Source organism: Homo sapiens, chromosome 8 (genome assembly GCF_000001405.40).
Source record: "Homo sapiens chromosome 8, GRCh38.p14 Primary Assembly".
NCBI classification, from domain to species: Eukaryota; Metazoa; Chordata; class Mammalia; order Primates; family Hominidae; genus Homo; species Homo sapiens.
In genome coordinates this window covers 131,912,863-131,937,931 of record NC_000008.11, presented here as the reverse complement: position 1 = coordinate 131,937,931, position 25,069 = coordinate 131,912,863, and the positions used below count along the sequence as shown (strand labels likewise).

Sequence of the window (25,069 nt, the reverse complement as noted above, 5' to 3'; positions counted from 1 at the left end):
CTTACACCCCCTTTCCTTAAAGCATTCCTTTAGTTCCTCCTTATCCTAGCTTCTGATCCCTTCCAACAAACTCACTTGGGTCCCAAAACTAATATATTTTTGACCTCTTCCCAACTTCCTCTTTCCCAAAAGAAAGAAAAAAAAAAAAAAAAGAGGGGGATGAGCATATCACAGAAAGTCTCCAACAACTGGCAAGTCTAAGCAATATAAATTCTTCCTTTAAATTTAATTCTATATTGTAGTTCTTTTCCCCAATTGTATGTCTAGTGCCTTTGCGGTGTTTGTCACCTAGGAAATATTCAATAAATACTATTATCAGTAAAAATAAATTAATTCCAGCACATAAAAGAGAAAACTATCCACTATTCTCCTCCTACAGCATGTGGAATTCAGAACTCTGATTATGATACACTAGAAGAATATGAAATAGGAAGGCTCAAGTGGGATAACTTTGGGAAAATAGAATTCAGACACAGTGGATAAATTATAACCAAAAAAGTGCCAGGCTGAATATTATAGTAGTGTACACATAAGCTCAGAAGTAATCTATTCAATACAGCTCTCTGAGCCTTAGTCAGTGAACAGGAAAATCCTACTACCTACTTCTCACAGTTAAGGGTATTAAATTAATAATACATAAAAAGTGCCTGGAGTGTAGAAGCCACCTAAACACACTTAATAAGCTCTTTTTTTATGAGTAAATTTTACATACTCCTGAAGTAACATTTCTTTAAAGACATCTGTGATATTGTGAAATATATATTTGGTCTTCCCATTTCCTAACAAATAGCTTCTGATAGTCTTAGGTTCTCCAAAGTGCCAAGTGTCATTGTGTATACTAATAAGTTGACTGATGGCTGGGGGCTCAAGGATAGCTTCTGGTGTGGGTTAGTCACAGTAAAGACCAAGGCATGACCAGAGGATGGGGACTTTCAGCCACAACCCCTAACCTCTAAGGATGCGGGAGGGGCTGATAGTTAAGTTGGTTACAGGTGGCCAATGATTTAATCAATCGCGCCTTTATAGTGAAGCCTCTATAAAAAAACCGAAAAGGACTGGGTGTGGATGGGCTTCCAGGTGGCTGGACACATGGAAGTTTCCGGAGGGTGACTTACCTGGAGCAAATATATATGGAAGCTCCTCACTCCTTCTCCCATACTTGGACCTATGCATCTTTTCCATCCGGCTGTTCATCTGTCTCCTTCTTAATAGCCTTTATAATAAACTGGTAAATGTAAGTAAAGTATTTCCCTAAGTTCTGTGAGCCACTCTAGCAAATTAGCTGAGCCCAAGGAGGGAGTGTGGGAATCCTGATTTATAGCTGGCAGAAGCACAGGTAAAACAACCTGGGGCTTCCAACTGGCATCTTGAGAGAGAGACAGAGACAGAGAGACAGAGAGAGCATGTGTGTGTGTATGTGAGTGTGTGTGTGTGCTGGAGGGGAGGGGGGCGGAGGGAGGCAGTCCTGTGGGACAGAGCCCTCAACCTGTGGGTTGTGACACTACCTCCATGTAAATATTGCTAAGAACTGAATTACGTCAGAGGACACCCAGCTGGGGAATTGCTAGCTCGGTGCTTGGGGAAAATCTCCCACACATTTGTTCACAGAAGTGTTCAAGTATTGTGACAGTATAGTAGAAGAAGCAAGCAGTTTGTTTTATCTACTCAACACTGCAAGAAAATTCTTCTCCTTTGCTCCCCTAACATCATTCTCATATAGATTCAGCAATGCCTCTTAGTCCCTAAACAGTAGTGATGCCAATTGACCTCTAGAAGAGGAAACATCCTCCTCCTTCAATAATGAGGTATTAGAGCTAATTTCCAATCCATCCTGTCTCAAAGAGGCATTCATAGAAGGACTTGAGCAGCTGCATAGAGAAACTCAAGGTGAAACTGATAGTATGGATTAGGCACGCAGGCACTCAAAGGTACTAGGAGAATTCTGAATACTGGGAACCAATATTGTAAGTGGTTGGTTGACCACTGAGTACTTCTGGTTTGAGATAACATTTGCTTTCCTATGCAACTCTATAAATTTGGGGACTTGGATCATTAAAAAAAAAAAGACCCCTTTAAAAATAAGCAACTTCCACTTTCAAGGGACTATACTATTCAATGATAATTTAACTGGAAATATTGATGTCTCCACCACTAACTGCCACCATGCCACTGGCTACTTGGGATAAAGCTATCCTCCAAAACAAAAATACTAAGTTAGTAACACTGTCACTGGAGATGAAGAATGTTTAGATTGTATTCATATTATGGAAACTGACTGTATGGCTTTGAATTAAGTTTGTTTCATAATCTATAAAAGCATACAATAATAGTATCTACACCTTCTATGTAGCAATTCTCTCATTTAATTCTCACATGTAACATAATAGAAATTGACTGACATATGTATGGCTCACTAGATTTCATACTTTTAAATGACAGTGCCTACGATTACTGGATTTTGGTCCTTCATGCCCTCATTATATATTTCTATCACAGCACCTGTAACAATCTACTGCTCGTTTACATATATGTGTCTGTCTTCACCACCAGAATATGAATTCCTCAAATGCAAAGCCCATGTATCTTACTCATTGTTATGCATGTCAGGCATAAAGCAGACATTTATAAAAATGCTTTTTCCTAAATAAATAAGGAAACAAAATATAAAGTGAGTTTAACATCTGCTCCTATACGCTATAAAAATCAATAAAGTACACTGTCCACCATAAAACACTAAATAAGTGCCAGAATGATATGATTTTTCCAACAAACAGATGACAATGTCAAATGAATCACTTTGAACAATTCATGCTTTATTTTTAGGTCTAGCAGAGTCCACCAGTAATCAAGGTGAAAAGAGACAGACTTTCTATTAGAAGATTTTTAAAATTAACCACTTCAAGAACTCTAGCTCTGTGGTGTCCAAAACCCTTTAAAAGAGTCTGCCTCACATATATTCCCTCCAAGGTTAAAATTAAAAGTCCAGTTACTCATTCAGTTGATGTCAGAACAAGACATTTACTTCATACAATCAAAAATATTTAGCAATATTACAGTTCCACTCACACATATCCTTTCCAGGTACCAAAACAATTTACATATAATATGTGTGTATGTGTGTGTATATACACATATATGTAATACACAGCAGTAAAGCTAAATATGTCTGTGTACTGCATATTATCATACTTATCAGAAAAAAATTAATTACTCAACAGAGCTACCCAAAGAGCAATATACACACACACACACGTATTATATATAATTCTGTATTTTTATATATATATACACACATACACATATGTATTATCTATAAAGCCTGTAATATAGGTGTTATTTTAGCAAACTATGCTTCAAATGACAACTACAAGGACTTAAAAAGGTGACTACATACTTTAAAAGACAAAGTTTAAAAATTAAGTTTTAAAACAAACCTTGGACATTTTAGGACAAAGGCTCTCCAATGTCAAATAGACTGCACAGCTGTAAGCACCACAGAGGTTCAGAGGAGAGAGAAAACAACTTGCGGCTAAAGTGAAAAGAGGTTTTACCAAGGACATGGAACTCGAACTGGATACTGAGGACTCCCGTGAAGAACAAGTAAGACTGAACTACAGGAATAAACTAGAGACAGTGAAGGACAACTGTAATCAAATGGAACAACGCAAGCAACACTAGGCAGGACGGCACATGGGAAAAACAAAATGCATATTCTAGTGTCCCAGAGCTTTGAAAGAAAAGTGGGAAAACATGAAAAGAGTTTGGTGACTAATTAGATATGGGGTCAAAAGAAAGGAACAAAATAATCTTATCTTCAGAAAAGTGTTCCTTTTAAAAGGATTTTAATCCATTAGAGGAGTATTTTATTACATGATTCTTTCCACATATAATCGTATACCTTCTCTCCTTTCATTCTCAATTTCACTACTTGTTTTTAATTCCTAGGCACATAAACCTTATGGAAAAGAGGACAACAAAGCAATAAATAGAATTAAAGCTCCAATTCTGTTTTAAAAGATGGTCTTCTCCTTACATTGCAATACTTTGCTCTATAATAGGCATAACACAGACAAAACTCTTGTACACTTCTCCAAACAATTCTGGGAAACTGTAGAAAAAAAAAAACAGCACCTTTTTTTCCTGAGGCAACTAACTGGTTTATACTTTATATCTGATTTTTTCCCACTATTACAATTTTTAATTTAAAAAGTTTTAATTTTAGACATTATCCTACTTATTAGTAATCATGTTGTAGACTTACACTTCAATTTAACTTTACTGTATATTATCATATTTATTGGAAAAAAATTAAATATTACTCAGCAGAGTTACACAAAGACAAGAGCAATAAAATACAGAATAATCCCAGCTTTTGGAAAATATTATTCTGAGAGATTTCATTCGAAAAGCTTCTAGAATCATCATTTGAAAAAAAATTAACACAAATATTAAAATCAGATATCATTCCCTTTTCATTTCATCTGATCCTGGCTTAGTTTGCAAAATAGGAAACAACCCAACGGATGAAAGAGAAACCAAAGCTGCAACCAGGAGAGAAAAGTACTCATACCTCTGCCCCACCACTGTACAACACTGCATGGTTCATTCCTATTTTCAAGACCATGTCCCTGGACCCTACATGTCACTGACCATCTTCAATGTGCTCAGGGGGAAGAGTCTTGGCAAGAAGACTATACCGCCCCGGTGTCCCAATCTACAGAGGTAAGTAATCAAATGATGCAAAAATAAAAACTGAAACAGTATGTGATTCCCTTTTTTAATATATAAAAGATTGGCTAATGTCTTCTACAATATCAGTAGTACTCTTAGAATTAAAAAAAGAACATTTTCATTGTTGTAACTGTTTTTTTAAAAAGATGTAAGCAGTGACTTTCTTCTTTAATGCAAACCATGGTACTATCACATTGAAATTTACTTTGCTAATTAATATGTTTTAGAGGAGTGTAGTAATTATGTAGTGGTCTAAGACAAATGTTAGGGATCGTGATTAAGAGGGAGAAAAACAGAGGAAAGGCATAAGGCAAATCAGACTATCCACAATTTATAATGGAACTGAGAGTGAATTTATAATAGTACTAAGCACTAACATGTTCTAAGAGTCCTGCTAAAATGCAGTCTAACAAAAGCACTTGTTGGCAAAAATAAAGTGTTTCCCTATATTTGTAGGGAAACAATTGGTAAAGTCATTATGGAGACAGTTTCCATTTATAGAGTGTATTTCAACCAATCAATCAATATCTTTGGAGCTTTCTATAGGAACTTACTTCCATGTCTTAGAGAAAATCTTGGTAAATACACAAAGTAACAAAGCTAGCTAACATGTATAGGAGTATTTTACCTTAAAAACTGAGATCTGTGTTTCTGGTAACAGCTTCCTTTAATGCCAAGAGGACAAAAGAAACTGAACTTACAGCTTCCCCTTTATTAGCCTATTTATAAGCTAAATATTTCCTGTAAAGGACTTCTAACAACCTGAATAAATATTCATGGAACACCAAGGAACATTGTTAAATGTCTTTTTGAAAACTGCTTTTGTTATATCAATGCTTGAACATAAGCTAATGGCCCAGGAACTGTCTGTCACTCATTTCTAAACCATTTTAAAAGAACAAATTATTTTGAGACAACTAAAATCTTCTGTAGTTTAAAAATACTATTAAGGTAAATTAAAAATTCCACATACAAAACAGAAAAATTCTCATAAAAAATAAAGACACCTCAAATTAGGGGGTCTCAAAAATGCTCACAATTAGAAATCAAAATACAGAAAGAACCAATAACATTAGTACAACAAAAAATGGGATTGTGGCAAGAATATGTGAAGGCAAGAACTCAACTTGCAAATCACTTATTTACATGGTTTCAAGCTTCAAAGGAATTTATATAATTTGGCATTTTGAGAGTGGCTGGGGGGTGCTATCATTAATTATGCCAGGACCAGTGGCATAAACTTTGACCATCCTAGGCAAACCAGGAGCCAGGATAATCCTACTTATTCTCCTGCGTATTGGAACATGTCTAAAGGTATCAAATAGTCAAATTTTCAGCTACAACTGCAAAATGAAGAAAAGCAGCAAGAATCCAGTCAGGGCAGAAAAAGATGAAGACAAAAAGAAACATAGAAGACCAGTAAAACAAATGAAAAACCCTAAGATGTTAGCTGGTTTTTTTTCATATATAATAACTATAATACTTACCATGTATCAAATAATGCAACAATTTTTATAGAAAGCTCATTTACTCAACATTTGTAATGAAAATGTTTTATAAAATGTCTACTACATATAAGGCATTGTGAAATTTGCAAATATTCATACAACTGGTTCCTGATATTAAGCAGTCTAATATATATTGAGATTGTAAGAAATCAACATTACAGAAAACAAAATATATAGTTCTTTTACTAAAAACAAAGCTAGATGCAAACAAAATAGTAACAATAGAAAATGACTGGATTTACCCTCAGTCTTGGGGTATAACTATATATACCTAATTATACTGATTTATCTATCAAACGTTTAACATTAACACATCTCTAAGAAACAATTACCACAACTTCTAACTCCCTAACAAAATCAACATTCATAAAAATCTTCTCTTACTGTTTGTATTTATTCTTTAATTGTACAAGGTTGCCTTGGAATAAATACAATCAAAGCGAACTATGTTTCCATAGTACAATGCTTCTCTAAGGGTGGCCTATGAGCCCTCTGAAGAAGAATCTCCTAGATTACTTTTAAAAGTGAATACTCCCTGCCCCCAACCCAGGACTTTCTGAATCAATCCCTGGGATGGCATACCAGAATTCTTCTTTCTAAAAATAAGCCTCCCCCTCCCACCATGGCCCTCATGCACACCCACGTTCATTCGGGAGCCATTGCTCTAGAGAACCACTCCCCTTGTATAATGATGTAGAGAATTTAGCATATGACTTTTTCTTATTGTGTACTTCAGGTATTCGGGAAACTGTCCTTACCTAAGTTATGCAATAGATAAGTTATAATATAGGCTGCACCTCGTAAGATCATCTTATATATTACAATAACTGAATCATAAATAGCACTATAAAGAACCAGGAGACCAAATGAGTGAGAAAAATAATGAATGCTATGACATTCAGAAAAGACTTCACAGGAGATGCTGATGTGATAAAGACCTATCACTGGCAACAGGGAGCTGGTATTTGTGGCTAAGACCACTAGAATTTCCCCATTATTTTCAAATGCTGCCACCAGACCTCATTAGGGAGTAGATTTTCTAAGTAACTTGTATAAATGAATACTTAGCAGACTCATGTCAGAAATAAATCATGACTAAATGGTCTTTAAAATCCTAAGCCAAGTATTTCAAGTATAGTAAAGGAAAAGTGAAATTATCATGATCAAATTTTCCACGTTTTTCTAAAACATGACCAGACCTTTGAAATTTCTCTTAAGATTGTGCTGATATGTTTCTCTGTATTTCATTCCACCGTGTTCTTAAAATTATCAGTCCTTGGGAATTATTTTACATGCAATGGCTAGAGAACAGGTTATACCTTTGGATAAACTATTCTATTCATCTGTTCCTATCTTCCCTAGAGAAGACTTCTGCTATAAGAGGAAAAGTGACTTATTTTACTCGTCAGTCTGGAAAAAAGGAACCTAGTAGGCTCTAAAACATAAGCACCAAATCTATATCTGCACCATCTGCACAATGTCCATCCAGCACATGGTAAGAGCTCAATATCTATTTGTTAAATGAATGAATAAACAAACTCTTAAGAGTTTCTCCTTCAGATGTGCAGTCTGCAATTCATTCTTCCTGCTTATAAGCATACCTGGGTCTGGAAGTGTGTATCTTTACATGATCTCCATGGAGTTATAGGGCAGTTTGAATCAATGTGCCTTCCTTGCAAAAGGCTTGGTCAATGTGTTTGCTCTGCTAACTTGGGGTGTCCCTCAGATACATCATTGGAAAGTTTAGATTTGGAGGAAAAGTAACAGAAAGACTGATAATGGACAAAGATCAAGATGCATTCTCCAACCCAGCTTTACTAGTAGTAAAACTGGTATTTTGACTTGCTTCAAACTGACTCTTATATTTCTGTATTTCAGTTGGTTCTCAACTCAGAGAGGGACACAGGTGAAACTGCTACCCTCTGAAAACCAAAAAACAAATGTGCCTCAGAAATATACATAAATGGGAAAAACAATACCCAATCTCATGTATTCTTTTAACAATCATTTAGTGAAGCCTACCATGCCCTAGGCACTAAACTAAATGTAGGGAATACAAATACAGGCCACAATCCCTGGCCATTTAGTAGCTCGTAGTCTGGTGGGAAAAGATAATCACATACAGAAAGAATTATCTCTGTGATAACAACTATCACAGGTTGCTATGAGATAATAGCTAATGGGATAACAAACCTTTCTGCAAGAAGTAATGACTAAATTAAGTCTTGAAGAAAAAGTAGAAATTAGGCAAAGAGGAGAGGATTATTATTCCCAGGCAAAGGGAGCCACATCTATTAAGGCTCTTAAGAGGTTTAAACAATGTGGTTTTAATTTGAAAGTAAGCATAAAGTTCTGCAACATGAGAAAAATGCCTAGGCAAACTTGCAGGAAGCTGACTTGGAAACAACTGAGTATAGAAGGTAAAGAGGAAGAGACAGGAAAGTTTGGACAACTGGTTGGATGCTAGTGTCACTGACCAACAAGGAACACAAGAGGATACACTCTGGGGTAAAAGGAGGATATCAAGAAGAGAGAATGAATTCTGTTTTGCACATATTAAATTTGAGGTAAACTTGAAGGTGGGATATCCTGTAGCAGACAATTGATCTAAACTAGAAACAAATTTAAAAACCAAAAGCATTTAAGTGATAGCAAAAGCAAATCTGCTGAGATCACTGAAGGCAAATAGGAGACTTAGAGAATCCTGAGGTAAGAAAACATTTAAGGGATGATCAGCACAATAAGAGCAGAAAGAGAAGACCTCTGAATAAACAGAAAGAAAATTACAAAAGGATTGTGTTAGAAAATGCAAAGAATAATTTTTCAAATACTGTACTTTTTACAAAGGTACCAATTATAGAGATAAGATACATGGACTTTAAAAAAACGCTCCAGTAATGAGGAAACATCAGAAAAAGAAATTAAGAATATTTTAAATGCAAGTAAAAAGGAAAACATGATTTTACAATAATGTAATTTAAAATTTCAAGATGGACTAAATATTGTGACCAAAATAAATCACAACAGTGGCAGTTTCAGAATATCCAGACTGAAAATCATTGTTCTATAGACCACATCTGACATGGAAAAAGGAGAAACTGATAACATAGTTTACAACAAGATTATAACTTATTATTTAGGTAATAAGAAATTTCCTTTATGAGGATTTACTAATTTATTGCTACTTTAATCAGCTTTTGGCAAGATAAAAGTCTGCTATCTAAAATACAGAATTTAAGATTACATTTTATAATTTCTAGTAAATGCTGTAGGATAAAATAATTGATCAGAATAACAACAAAAGGAAAATCTGATGATAAATGTCTGAAGAAAAAAATTGTATAATGTCTGCAGAAACCCCACCCTTCATTTAGCATTTAATGTCGAACGTATAAGAAAAGCAGAGATTTCTTCTAACAGGATCAAGAATTGGGCAACTATCTTATTCTTATAATACACACAGTAACAGAAGTTCCACATTTGAAGCATTCTTCCAGGAGAGACATTCAAAGAACATTTTAAGTATTTCATGACTAGTCAACCAATCAATTAGGTTTATAAGGTACTTAACTACACGCAAAGTGCCAGGAATGCAACATGTATGTCTTCAAGAAGTTCCCAAACTAGAAAGACTAAAATTCAAAAAATTATAGTTGTCAGATTTTATTTTCCATTGTCAGAAGACAATTTTAAGATTATAGCTGCAGAATTACTATCAATGCTTGCAAAATCATGATGAACAGGAAGTTCTAAAAGGATGGGAATTTGCAAGGCTTTCACAGTTCATCACATCTATATCTGTTCTTTAACTTGTTTCCGGGTAGTTTCATAAGGGAAGGGCTCTTCTCATTCATCTTTTTATACTCTCACTTTTTAACTTTTTGGTTTTTTTTCTAAAATAATAAACGATAATTCAATTTCCAGTAAGTGAAGAGACAAAAGAAGTTGTAAATTGTAAATGAATAAACTCAATGCCAAAAAATTAACAGATAGCTGGTAACTGATTGGCACACACGTTATGGTTCCTAAAAAAAGCTCTTGCTAAAAACCATTTCATTTTGTATATGAGTATATGTATGACCACCTTATAACCATGTAATACTATACCGACTTTGCTGCCCATGTTCACTTCCGTGTCTAAAATCATATTAGCACCAAATAATCACCTAAAATAATAATATTTAACTTTTCATGCAGCAATTTTTTGATGTAGGGTGTGACAACACTTTAATGGTCAGAGTTCTCAAGTTTGGGGAACAGTAACCTAGAGGAAGATTTCCAGTCACTGCCACAAAGCTCTGCATTTAGTACTTTTGCTTAATAATCTGATAGCTTGGATACTGAGCAAATAGGCAATGTTGTCTGCCACACTACAAAAAAAGGCAGTGGCAAACTAACATGTATGAAGAATAGGCCAGGCTTCTGCTCATGTTGTCCCTGTCTTCAGCTAACTTACCTCCCAGCCTCAGCCCAGCATTATTCTTCAAGTTGTCCTTAACCACGACCTAAAGCTAGGCAGGTGCTACTCTCTCTGCTGCCACAACCATTACCATTTGGGTTAATAACTTATTGATCTATTTTTCTCAGAGGTCTATAAGCTCCTCAAGGGCAGAGCTGTGGTTTATTCATTTCTGAAAGACTCACAGGGTGAAATGTTACATTGAGAAGGAATCCAGAAATGACTGCTAAGAAAGTCCACAGCTACAATGAACATCTTTCCCCTCCGTGAAAGAAAAATGCAACCTTGGAAATGTGAAGTCCTCTCTAATATATTAGACTAAAATATTAATCATTTTATAAGTTGCAATCAGTTATAGTCAAAATGCTATAATAAAAAATGAAAACTAACAGCATTTGACTCCCACACTTAAAGTACATAGAAAGTTTAAACTGATTATCATAAAAACTAGCTGGACACGGTGGCACACATTCATAGCCTCAGTTACTCGGGAGGCTAAGGAGGGAGTATCACCTGAGCCCAGGAGACTGAGGTTGCAGTGAGCTACAATCATGCCACTGCACTCCAGCCTGAGCAACAGAGCAAGATCCTTTCTCAAAAAATACCCTCCAAAATTTTTTTTTAAAAAAACAACTTACAGGTGTGTTTCCTGAGCTATAAAGTAAATAAGTTTTGGCAGTAAGCAGACATATATCTTAAAATGTAATTTTTAGTATCTAGCACCCCCATATGCCATTATAGGTCATTTTGCATCACTGTGCCACAATAAAGCTTTGACCACACGAAATAAGAAGATACAAATTTTTTTTATTTCTTCAATTTCATCATTTTTGATGTAGTTCTGGTGTTTAAAATGTGCTATTTTTACACCCAAAAAAGTAATAATTTCAGTCTGTTAATTTTAACTATATAGTACATCACAGATGTTTACAAAGAAGTTAAATTTGAAATCACAGACAATAAAAATGGTTTTTTAAAGTCACCATAATATATTCTGAAACTCTGTGACTAATATATTGCATTTCTTGATCAATGAATTAGCCTTTGAGACAGCAATTCATATTAATATTTGAAGTATATTGTTTATAATTTTTATAACATGAAGCTAGTCTTCTAGTCTTTTTTTTATCTAGTCTTACAACACAATAAAGCTAATAATCAACTATAACCCTATAATAGATTTTAACTATTTTATTCACTGACTGATCTGGCTTTAGCCTTGACAGTGTGATTACTGACCTTGTTGCATTTATTTTAAAACTCAAAAAAAAATAATAACATTAAAATAAAATAATCTAGCCACAATGAATACCAACATTAGCCTGGCATATTCATTATTGTATACACTACTGTTCTGTTTTAGGCCTTAGCAAAATTTGGGAGGGGGATAATTATTTTAACAACTGTGAAGGAAAACACAGGATCAGGGACAAAGTACAGGTAGAAGATCTTTCTACTAAAACCCAATTTAAGGCAACTTTACCTAAAAGCACTCACTATACTTAATATAGCATTAAGAGTTATCTTTTAAAAATTATAATCAGGTCTTCAGGGAGAGAAGACCTTATTAAAAAAAAAATTACTTCCCTCTGCCACAGGAAACATATTACTAAGAACTTCCTCATTCAGATTTTTGCAGAAGCCAGTATATTTGTATCATTTTTATGCTTTTGTGTTTTCATATTTAATGTCCTCAAATCAAATCAAGATAATTTCTTCATAATCATTTTTATATAATTCTCTGGATGCTCATCACATATTATTGATTGGAAATGGAGTGCAATGCATTACCTGCCTGCAAGAGCTAAGTAGGTAACTTACTGATAATTGAAGGACGTTTTGCCCCACTTCACAGATTCTGCAAAAATGAACTGCTGTTGAATTTAACTAACTGCACAGATTGTGGTGTATTTGAAGGCTACTAAGAACAATTTATAATGCATAACAAAAATCTTCATTATTTTAGTTACAAAATGCTTAGCACAGGATGTATCACATAGTAAATGTTAAAATATCAGATATTACTCAAATATTTAAAGGACATCATGTGAAAAAGGGACTAGTCTGTGATATCTTCAAAGGACCAAACCTGGATGTAAATATATTCCTGAGACTCAAACCAGAGGTTAGACTAAGGAACTAAGACTAAGAAACCAGAGGTTAGACTAAGGAACTAAGACTAAGGTTCATTCTATCAAGCACATGACATTCCAACTCAAATGCAAACAAACATTAACTAATTTTTGTTGAAAGTAGTATATAAGGTACTGTGGAAGATAAAGAAAAAAACCTTAATGGAAAATATTATCTAACAAGAACTTACATGCTTGAAAGAATAGAAGGACCCACCTATAAACAATATAAATAAAATATAAGAGAAATGAGAAAAATCGAAGTCTAGAAAAGCTTCTTAGAAGATGTAAAAGACGAGCTCAGCCAAGCATGAACACGAAATGAGTAGAACCGACTATTTCTTACAGACCAGAAGATGAAAAGACTTTTCTGAGTTGGACTGATTAGGACAAGTTTCTCCTTTCAAGAAATCTGAGCTTTGAGCTAGCCTTTGAAGAAAGGAAGAAAATGAACAGAGGGAACAGAGTATTCCAGAAAGGCTGAGGGAAACAGGATGTTCTGGAGTAATAAAATGACTAACCCAGCTGAACTGCAGATTTAGCTCTGGGGCCTTAGAGAAGAATCAGAAAGATAAGTTAGCAGTAGCTGTACAAGCATATAATGCCAATATATACTTGTCTCTCCTCAAAACTTTAGACAACCTTGTACATATATATGGATGTTAAGCCTGGACTCTGTAAGCACTGTAAACAACTCAAAATGTTAGAGTAGGGCAGTAGCATGATGAAAACACTGTAATTATATGATTAGTCTTTTCACGTGTCAAAGGATAAAAAAATTACTTGGTGAAAAAATTAATTATATTAACAACTATGAAGAAAAATGCCGAGTCAAGGACAAATAATTAGATATTTATTAATGTTATTTCTCAGTATATAAAAATGCTGAATGGGGTATGCAGAAATAATTCCTTTGGCATAAAATGCTAATAATCATACTCTGGTAATAAATGATCTCTACATTGGTCCTTAGTTCTCACAAGAAACAATCTAATAAGCATTCATTTTATGACCTAAGAAATATCTAAACAGCAGGTCTTAGCAAGATACAGCAATTACAGTAAGTATCAGGGACTTACTGATAAGTCCCTGATACTAAGTCTCTGATACTAAGTAGCACAAGCTAAACGTCAAAAATGCCAATCACAGTGCTGCGGGCTTTTAATTGCTTAAAAAAAGAAACTAAATCTACCAATGCCAATTTCAAACTGTTTCATTCATCTTCGCTTAGTTCTGTTACCACTTCTTTGTAAGCCAAAGGACACTGCTTCCTACTGAAAGCTGAAGAGACAGATGTTTTGGTAAGAAGCAGTTCTTCTGAGTGCGCACTGGCAAATAAGGTTAAGCAGGGGATTGTGACTCAGCTAATGCTGGTTCCTAACTTTTCTCATTTTATTATTTTGATACGTTCCTTCTGAATTAACTTGCCATTCAGGTGACAAGAAAGCCTACTGAAGTTCTTGGTAAATAAAACACTTTATACTAAAATGAGATGAATCTTTAAAGTTCAAACCTAGACTCAGAATAACAACATTTTATTCTTCCTAAGAAGTCATCTGAATGTGGCATTTCCAATTTGTCAAAAAAAAAAAAAAAAAACACCCTGACATTTTCCCAGATGCCTTTTTAAAGGCCGTGAAGTTTATACAGAGCAAAATGAACACATTAGAAAGAATGAGTACAAAACATTTTATTATATGTCACAAATATTGAGAATAGAAAAGATAATATAGTATCCACAATTAAACAATTTAAAAGATAGTTCCTTCAGTGCATACCCACAAAAACTCAAATCACTTATTTTAAAAAGTATACATGATCAATGGCTTATTTTAGCTTTATACACACACATGCCAACATATTTTAAACAGTAAAGCCACATAATACTTTGCCGAAATAACGATCTCCCCAATTTATTTATGCTTCATTGACAGGCCGGTCTTGGAGGTGAACCTATGCATAATCTCTACCTTTTCAGCATTACTTCCCAATAAAGCATAACATTTTTCACAGCAAAACCTGTGAATACAGCTTTCAAATCAAGTCTCAAATGTTTTCATTCCAATGCATGTGCTCATACCATTCATTCTGCGGAGAACATTGTTGTCTCAATAGAAAGTGTTATTAGTAATAAGCATTCAGTAGTAAGTCAATATGCATTCCAATTACAAAAAAGTTCCTGGAGATAAAATCTACTGTAAGTTATAAAACAGAAAGTTCAACAATTTTAAATACAACTTATGACACTGAGTTGGTAAAGACAACAAGAAACCAAAACCAATCTAAGAATTTCCAACAAACTGCTGAAACAGAAGGACAAAGAGTGAAAGCATGATTATGTAGCTGGAAAACCAAGGCAATAGGTTAACATGCAGGAAAGTGGGAGAGTTCTCAGCTGTCACACTCAAGTACATTAATGTGTGGAAACAAGGCTGTCCATTTACTAGTCAGAATAACTGGAGAATTTAAGAGAGAAATTAACAGTAAATGTGATTTTAAGAAGCAATGGACAAGTGTTGTGGGTTGAATTATGTTCCCCAAAACAATATGTTTAAGTCCTAACCCCAGTAAAGGTTGAATTAACCTTATCAAAAATGCTTGAGACCAGAAGTGTTTCAGATTTTTAATTTTTTTTTAATTTAAGGGTACTTGTAGAATACATACTAGTTGAGTATCCCTAATAAAAAAATCTGACATTCAAATTGCTCCAAAGAGCATTTCTTTTGAGTGCTCAAAAAGGAGCTCAAAAGTTTCAAATTTGGGGGCATTTTAGATTTTCGGGTTAGGAATATTCAACCTATACCTGCCATTGTGACTTTATTTCGAAATGGGGTCTTTGCAGATATAATCAAGATGAGGTCATACTGGATTAGGGTAAGCCCTAAATTCAATGACTGGTATCCTTATAAGAAAAAAGAAAGATATGGATACACACAAGAAGGCTGCATGAAGACAGCGGAAGAGATTGGAATTATTTTGCCACAAGCCAAGGAACTCCAAGGACTACAGTAAATACCAGAAGCTAAAAGAGGCAAAGAAGTATTCTTCCCTAGAGCCTTCAGAAGCATGATCCTGCCCAAACCTTGGTTTTGAATTTCTGGACTCCAGAACTGTGAGAGAAAAATATTCTGTTGTCTTAAGCCACCCAGTTTGTGCTACCTTGTTACGGTAGCCCTAGAAAACTAATACACATAAGATTTCGTACAACATGTACACCAGTAAATTCTATATTTAGTAGATATGTACCATTCTGAAACCAGTTTAAATGCCAAAATGACTTCAGGTCAGCCTCCAGAGAATTTAACTCCTCCCTTGATATTTCAGTCACTCAAACTCAAACATTCCTCCCTCATCTCAATAGTAACATACAAAATAACTAAGACAAGGAAATAAGGAATTTTTGTTCAATTTTACCAATCTTTTTCAAGTGCCACATACACTTCACTTAAGTTTAGGTAAATGAATGTCTGGGCTCAGTAAAAGAAAAAAAGATTATACCATTAATTTACATCAAAGTTTAATAAATACGCACAATTAAAAAAATGAAAATGTTGTAAGTAAAAGTCTGTTTCATTCTCATGTCTGATATACCTCTGTTATGGATTAAATTGTGTCCCTTCAAAATTCATATGTTAAAGTCATAATTTCCAGTGCCTCAGAAAGTGACCATATCTAGAGAGAGGGGGGTCTTTGCAGTAGTAATCAAGTTAGGATAGGGCCATTGGGGTAGGTCCTAATCCAATACGACTAGTATTCTTATAAAAAGGAAAAATTTAGAGACAGACACACATACAGTCAGAACTCCAGATAGATGGCTATATAAAAGCCAGGGAGATGCCTGGAACAGATCCTTCCTTCACAGCCCTCACAAAGAACCCACCCTGCCAACACCTTGATTTCAGAGGTCTACCCTCCAGAATAGTGAGACAATAAATATCTGTTGTAGAAATCATCCAGTTGGTTGCACTTTGTTACAACAGCTCAGCAAACTAATACACCAAATTCTAATCCAAGTGTTTTTCAAAAGCACAAAATCTGGCTTCATGGATATTGTGCAAATACAATGGAAAATCAGAAGACTTAACCAAATGGCAACAAGATCCAATCTACTCCAAGAATTCCCTGCTCCTATCTATCCCTCATCTACTAGTCTGATTCTTTCAAAATGTATTTACCAAATATTTGAGTGTCCACTAAATTCTAGGTTTGGTCTTATTTAATCCTCAGAATGACCCTATGAGGTAGGTATTGTTATTTACACTTTACAAATAGAGAATCAGAAAGACAATAATATCCCCAAGACCATACAACGAGAAGCATGGAGCATGGATCTCGTTAAGGGCCTCTAAGCCTGTACTCTCAACACTATACACTATACTGCCTTTCTGAGAAAGTTCTTTTTGAAAAAAAAAAAAAATCTGAACTGTCTACTTTGGAGACTAAAGCAACGTCGTCAAAACATTGTGCAGCTGCCAAAAAATTATACAATTACTGCCACTGCTCTCCAGACGTACAAAACTTAAGTCAGATGGTACAGAATGGGGAAGCGACATCCTGCTTGAGAATCTGTCATATTACAAAACTTACCACTTCTAGAAGTTATCTTCTTTTCCTATCATAGGTTACTCTGAGCTAAAAAATGTCCCTAAGAATACAAGAACATGTGAGAAAGAAAAAAGAAGCCTTTTATGCTGTTAGAGGGTCTACATAAGAAGTTCCTGGTAAACTCCCTGCATACCAAGACCACAAGCAAGAGCTACAGGGAGGACTTTGCCATCCTTGCTACATGCACATCTTAGGAAAAGGGGGAGAGAACGTTTTTACTTTACAAACTCACAGCAAAATGGCCATTGCTGCTTAGGGTCTAGAATGTCTTAAAGCTTTTCCACCCACAGTGCACTGTGCACTGAAGTTTCAGCTTACAATAACAAAGCACTCCGGCACAAGTGTCCCAAAACTGACAAGGAAAATAATGGAAATATTTTTACATAATCTTTCACAAAATTCTAGCAGCAAATCCATCCCCAAGCAAAATCCAGTTTTGAAGCTAAGGCCCCTTTTTATTTTGTAAAACTAAGGTGAGAATCCTCTGCTGTACTGTAACTTCAGCATGCAGAAAAGTCTTTACTTTTTACTCTTTCCTGCACATATTAAAATGCTTGTCACTACAGTAATCTGATACTGGAAGCTTTCAGGTTTTTAAACTTAAATATAATATATATATACATATATATAAAATCCAGAAATAAATGTATCTTCCTTACAATTAAAAAGTTAAAAAGAACTGGGATTTCAGAGTCTTTCGTTTTCACAAGTCTCCTAATACTTACTAAAGTTTGAGTCCTAATGAACCAAAATCTAGGGAGAAGAAAAGATGGAGCATCTGAAAATTCACATTTGTTAAAAGTATCTGTCCAGGTGATTTCCCAGGGATTTTGTTTAATGTAAAAATCAAGTTTCCTCATACCGTTAAAACAGGTAAATTTTTTTTTTTTTTTTTTTTTTTGAGACGGAGTCTTGCTCTGTCGCCCAGGCTGGAGTGCAGTGGCGCAATCTCAGCTCACTGCAAGCTCCGCCTCCTGAGCTCACGCCATTCTCCTGCCTCAGCCTCCTGAGTAGCTGAGTAGTGGGCGCCCGCCACCATACCCGGCTAATTTTTTGTATTTTTAGTAGAGACGGGGTTTCACTGTGTTAGCCAGGATGGTCTCTGTTTCCTGACCTTGTGATCCACCCGCCTCGACCGCCCAAAGTGCTGGGATTACAGGCATGAGCCACTGCACCCGGCCAAAACAGGTAAATTTTATGGTATGCAAATTATATCTCAATAAAGCTGCTTTAAAAATCAATCATTTCCTTCGGTATACTTACTGTGACCTTAATATGCATTAGTAATACTAAGGTCACAGTTTAAAATTCTACTAGCCTATTGTCCAAAATGAAAAGCTGAATATGGGGGGAAAAAAGATAGGTTTGGGGCTTTCTGCAGATTTTTAGCTAAGCTTTAAAAAAAAAAAAATCACTGACAAAGGACAGTGTCTGCTTAAACAAAGTAAGGCACCATAGTTTAGGAAAACCCCTAAATCAAAAAATATTAGTTTGTTACCATTATGAGCATAAAGAATCTATCACAGGCAATGACTAGGATCTTTCTTAGCTAACCAAGTTGGTTTGAGTTACTTTAATTAAAAGTCCTCTAAGTAATTCACAAATAGGATATGAGTTATCTCAGGCAAAATTTAAAACAGCTTTAAAACCCTAACTACTTAAATTTTTTAAAAAATTTTATTTCCTCATTAGTCACAGAGCAACAAAAGTGTTAAATCTGTAGGAGTGTTTGTAACTTCCAAAATTATTTTTAGAGGAAATACATTTAATATACCAACAGCATTGATTCTTCTTATAGATTCCATAACACCCACAGCATCTATGCCATATGTTAGAGATTTTCATTTGAATTGAGATGATTACATTTTCTGATTAAACAGTAACTGAAAAGACAAGTAGCAGTCTAATTACATATCTAAATAAAATATATATTTTAAGTAATTTCTCTATCCAACATTTGAAGATAGCAACATATAACACAGGATTTGCTGAGCAGGACTAGTTAAGTAAAATGTTCAATTAAAAAATTATTCTACTAATTTAAGCATTCAAAGTTCAATGCCTGATATATTCTCTCCAATCTTCCAACTAAAACCAAGAAACCTTAAACATTTTATATTCACTCTATACATGAAATTATAGTAACACAAAGTCAAAAGCCTAAGACTTCTTTAAATTTTAACCTATTCTTTGTTGTTGTTGTTGTTGTTGAGACAGAGTCTTGCTCTGTCACCCAGGCTGGAGTGCAGTGGTGCGATCTCAACTCACTGCAACCTCCACCTTCCGGGTTCATGCGATTCTCCTGCTTCAGCCTCCTGAGTAGCTGGAATTGCAGGCATGCGCCACCACGCCCAGCTAATTTTTGCATTTTTAGTAGAGATGGGGTTTCACCATGTTGGTCAGGCTTGTCTCAACCTCTTGACCTCGTGATCTGCCCGTCTCTGCCTTCCAAAGTGCTAGGATTACAGGAGTGAGCCACTGTGCCAGGCCCCTATTCTTTTAATTTATCACAAACACACACTGTGGTCACAACATTAACAAGGTATTTTTATGTTAATCATATGCCTCTAAGAAGAAAATCAAATCTTTTCTAATCAATATTCTTAAATGGCTCATAAACCAAAATCTGATGCTACCCTAAGAATTCAATGTATTACCAACTGACAAAATTACCTCAAGTTCAAAGATAAGGGTTACTACTACTGACGCATGGAAAAAAAACAAACCAACCAGTTTTTCTGTAGCATTATACACAAAGAACCTGGAATTCTGTATATATTTGTATAATTCATTTTATTACTGCAACTATAAAGATAAACTTAATCTACTCTTACAAATTAAAAGAATCAATAGAACATTATCTCACCTCTATGCAAATACTTAAAAGTGTTTAGCAGGGTTTAATTACTGTGCAATTTTAGATGAAAATATTAAGAATGGTTGAAACAACTGCCAATTTTGGCAAAAGCAAAGCATCCAAACCACAATTATACTCAACCCTCTCTAATCTTCCCTGAACCACTGTACAAAATACTTTTAAAATTGTTAATCCCTTAATCAGCAGGTTGCTGTACTCCATCAGGACAGGCTGAACAATATTTCTATGTTGCTGAAAACAGAGAATAGAGCCTGTTTACTGTGTCATACCAAGTAGATGCCGAGAAACCAATCGACGGGGAGGAAAGGAGAACAGTATTCGCTGTATAAGGGGAAAGAAATCTTACTGAAAACTCCAAGAGCTGACTGATACTCTCAGGTGACAGCTCGTCTCTAATGTCCCTCAGTTCCTTGTGTGAATAAAGCAGTTTCCCAGCAACTCTGCATAAGCATTACATCTGCTGCCTGCAAATCATTCTGTTGTTTCACAAATACACATTATGATTCTCAAGATGGCAATGGGTTGATAAATTACTAACAGTTTAGTTCTATATTATTTATTTTAGCTTATATATGTGGAGCCACCCTAATTTCTACTTGCAAACTGCACAATTTACAGTTTACATCCTCTCACCCAATTATAATTTGACAATCACCTCCCCCAGCTAGGAAGCTGTGAAAAGACAGTTTAGGCCAGACGTATAGGACAGAACTGCCACGGCTGAGACACAACAATTGTTCTTAAGTCCTAAAGCTTAAAAAAAATTGTTTCATAAATTACCTTTATTGTCATCATATCAGATCAAACTGTAAGAGACTGTCCAGTGTTTCTGCTTCTTGCTACATTGGAATATTCAAATGCTACTAAAAATAAGTGTGAGTCATTTGAGTCTTGCATAACTCTCATCCTGCAAACATTTGTTGCAATGGTATTTGTTTAAAAAATGACCCACCTGCTCCCTCTTCGGTTCCTGTGCCTCACTCCATCTTTAAATAAACATGTTCCTCAAGAGTTTGCCCTCAGCTTCTTTAGCCTCTATACAACCTATCCTTCAGTAATTTTATGCACTATTACTCCTACAAACATAACATGAATGTCTTTAAGGCACTATACTCATCATATCCTAAAATGGACTCATCTTCCATCTCAATTTCCCCAAATTCCTCCTCCTCCAAAAAGTCCCTATAGCAAACCAGAACCATTCACCCATATGATAAAGCCAGAAACCTGAGTAAATCCTTACTCCCCTTTCTCCCTCAATCCTTTGATCCAATTAATCCTATCAATTGTATTTCCTCAAAAGTGTTCACATTTGTTCACTGCAGTCCTTCCTACAACCACCATCCAAGTCCAAAGCCCACCAATTAGACTACTGTATTTTAATAACCTCTAACTGCTTTTCCTCCAGGCTCACTTACATGTTTACATAGCAACTTGTGTTTCTTTTATTATTAACATCTATTACATTTCTTTGATTCACTCTATAAACATACATTGAATGTGTGCCATGGCCCAGACACTATACCAAAACTATAAACACAGCAGTAAAGGAAAGAAACCATAGGCCCTCTAAAGCTCCCTGTCTCATCAGTTTAACTACGTGCTGAGCACCTTTCTTCCCCATCAGACCAAGATCCATGAGGGCAGGGACGACACCCCTGTTGGTGTCCATATGTCCTGTATGAGGATAGCACCGTATCCTCAGTGTCTAGCATAATAAATGACACATAGCATTCAATAAATATGTGAATAAAAGACAAAATTACCATGCGCAGGTGTGCACACATACACAGCCTTAGATTCTTCACCTTCCCTAGCACTACTGTCTCACTTAAACTGCTTAATGGTTATTTCCACCTGCATAACTCATCTCAAACAGTTTCCCCAATCCAGCATTTCTCCTTTGACCACTGTATCTGTAGTATACTTTAAGGCACTTGGATTTAGAAAGCTGTCCTCCACTCATCTTCCCCTTGCTCTCTTCTCCCAATCAGAGGTGCAGTCTCTCCCCTGGGCCCCCAATAGCACCATTCTAATCGTGCTTGCCATTCTCTGTGTTATAGCAATTTATACCCTTCTATAAATAAGGTAAACTTTTTGAAGCTAGGGACTGCTTTATTCACCTCTGTATTCTCCAGCCAGCAGTGCTTTACAAATGTAGGCCCAAAAATATTTGCTAAGAGAAATCCAACAGGAAAACAAGAAAAATTGAAAGAACACTTGTGATTCTAGGAACATACTGACAGTACCTATGACTGAAATGACTACAAGAAGAGATTATAAAATCTCCCATCTTGGAGATCATGAGAGCAAAACAGGTGAGGCACTATCAACTAAACAGTTTTTATTTTTGCCTCTAGGTTCCCGAGCTATTGATTATAAAACAGCTTAAATTCTTGTCAGAGGGCATATTCTAATGTCTAATACTATAAACCTCAAACTTTTTACAAGTAGCCAACACTACTGAAACCAAATGCAGAATGTCACAAATAAAAGAGATAAAAATAGAGCTGCTCCACTATTCACAATAGCAAAGACATGGAATCAACCTAAATACCTATCAATGACAGACTGGATGAAGAAAATGTGGTGTATATATACCATGGAATACTATGCAGCCATAATAAAGAAGGAGATCATGTCTTTTGTGGGAACAGATGGAGCTGGAGGCTATCATCCTTAGCAAACTGACACAGGAACAGAAAACCAAACACCACGTTCTTATTTATAAGTGGGAGCCAAATGATGAGAACTCATGGACGCCAAGAAAGGAACAATGGACACTGGGGCCCACTTGAGGGTGGAGGGTGGGAAAAGAGAGAGGAGCAGAAAAAATAACTACTGGGTGCTAGGCTTAGTACCTGGGTGCAATAATATTACAACAATACAATAGTACTACAACAATCCCCTGTGACACGAGTTTACCTATTAACTAACCTGTAAATGTACCCATGAACCTAAAATAAAAGTTAAAAAAAAAACAGAGCTGCTCCAGCTGAAGCTGGTCAGATAGAGAGGGCCACCTGCACAGTCTTGTCGGAATCCTTCCCATACAACAGTCCTTATTATACTCTGTGGAAGAAATTTTGAAAACTCGGCTCTAAAAGCTCAAGCTTCCCTTGGGCCACCCTCACTGATTGTATTCATCAATGTGGGTCAAGAGCAATATGAAATCCTCAGGAATCAACAATGAGGATGCTGTGCCAGGGGAAGGAGCTTCTGTATAGGTATTAGAAATAGAACTGTCCTGGGGCAGATACCCCCATCACTGGAAGACCAAACAAAGAAGCAAGATGGAACCAAGGGAAAAGGGGTCATGACAAGTCACTTAAGTCTGCTTCCAATTTGAGTTGTGAAATGAAAAGTAATTGGACCTCTGAAATTCACATACTCCAGCCCAGCTAAGAAAACAGGAGAAGCCATAGGGACTTAGAGCCAGAATCTTAGGTGTTATACATTTGCCTGGAGTGTCCCCCCCACTGTAGATGCCCTTCTAGAGCCAGCTGCAGCAGATGGTGGGATGATAATGCAAGAACTGATAACCTGCTGATTCTAACAACATGTTCATAAAGCATTTCCACCTCTAAAGCACAGTTACGTAAATTCTATTACATCTAAATATGCGTAGGAGATAAAATCTTCTCCAGTTAGTGGGTTAAAAAGTTAGTAAATTATTTTTAACTAAGTTAATAAAATAAAACAATCCAAGTCAGATGTCATAAATGGGCCATTCCTTTAGCCTGGCACAGTACCTTCTGCAAAGTTTATGAGATTCCAGGAAATGACAACGCCAACCTTGGACACCTTACACTTCACTCGGCTCATCAGGAGTGAAATTCGTTTACAGTTAACTGTAACCACATCAAGGGAACTTGGTAGCTAATTGCCAAGACAGCTGTTCAAAAACACCAATTAAACAACAGGGATGTGAAGAACACTTAGCATTATCCAGAAAACTACTGCAGCAGAAATACCCTGGAGTTCAGGTAATAACAATAAAAAGGTACAGCTGAATAACTCACCAACTAAGAATAAAAACAAAAATAGCATTTAGAAGGACAGAATTCCTCTTAAAGACTGTAAAGCAAATGGCTTAATGCCTAATTTAAGAATACAGAAAACTCTTGATTCAGAAGTAAAATTAAAAAAAAAAACCTGACTAGTGTTTCCTTCCTCCATAAAAATTAGAATCACACTATCTAATAACACCTAAAGTCAGAGAGCAAGAAATACATATGCAAAAGGGATAATATGATACCATACATGGAAAGAAGAAAAATAGTAGTTCCTGTTTGCTTTAGAATATACTTGAGAGCTGCCTCATTTCAAGAACTGAATAAACCCGGCAAATACACATGATGAGAGAATTTTGACATGTCTGACATATTAATCATAGGAGGAACTGCCAACATTCATTTTGTGATCATACTTCCCTAGAACTGTATTCAACTCTACAACACAAGATCATTCAAAAAAAAAAAAAAAACAGAAAAATAAAAACCTGTCAGTTCCCAATAAACTGAACCCCCACATCATGACTCATCTCAACCTTTCAGGTTTTCATGATTTAAACCACCACTTAATAAGGCAGAAATTATTTCCTCCTCCTCCTCCTTTCAAAAAAAAAAAAAAAAAAATACAAGTGATAGGAAGAAAGCTCCATTCCTATTCCTGAACAACATAATCCACCAATGACTTCTCAAAGTCGTTCACAGATTTTTACATGATAGCAATCAGACAGCTGATGCGCTGTTTT

General features: G+C 35.6%; 1 protein-coding gene across 11 annotated transcripts in view, besides 1 other annotated feature; it reads right to left on the bottom strand.

Moving 5' to 3' along the window:
- EFR3A (EFR3 homolog A) overlaps positions 1-25,069 on the bottom strand; it is a 109,550-nt gene that overhangs the window by 75,711 nt on the left and 8,770 nt on the right. For 2 of the 11 annotated variants that reach the window (XM_047421603.1, XM_047421604.1), the window contains exon 1: positions 1,116-21,159. The exons of 7 other annotated variants lie outside the window; for them this stretch is intronic. In XM_047421603.1, coding sequence (XP_047277559.1) covers positions 1,116-1,194 — 79 coding nt within the window. In that variant the 5' untranslated portion in view covers positions 1,195-21,159. Of the gene's footprint in view, positions 1-1,115; positions 21,160-25,069 lie in introns of those variants that run through there. 2 more of the 11 variants (NM_001323557.2, NM_001323556.2) reach the window with 1 other exon arrangement.
- Positions 21,163-21,232: a silencer, noted in NCBI's record as "silent region_19557". NCBI's record gives its function as "represses an Ori minimal core promoter by ATAC-STARR-seq in GM12878 lymphoblastoid cells {active_cell/tissue: GM12878}" and the evidence as "EXISTENCE:reporter gene assay evidence [ECO:0000049][PMID:35858748]".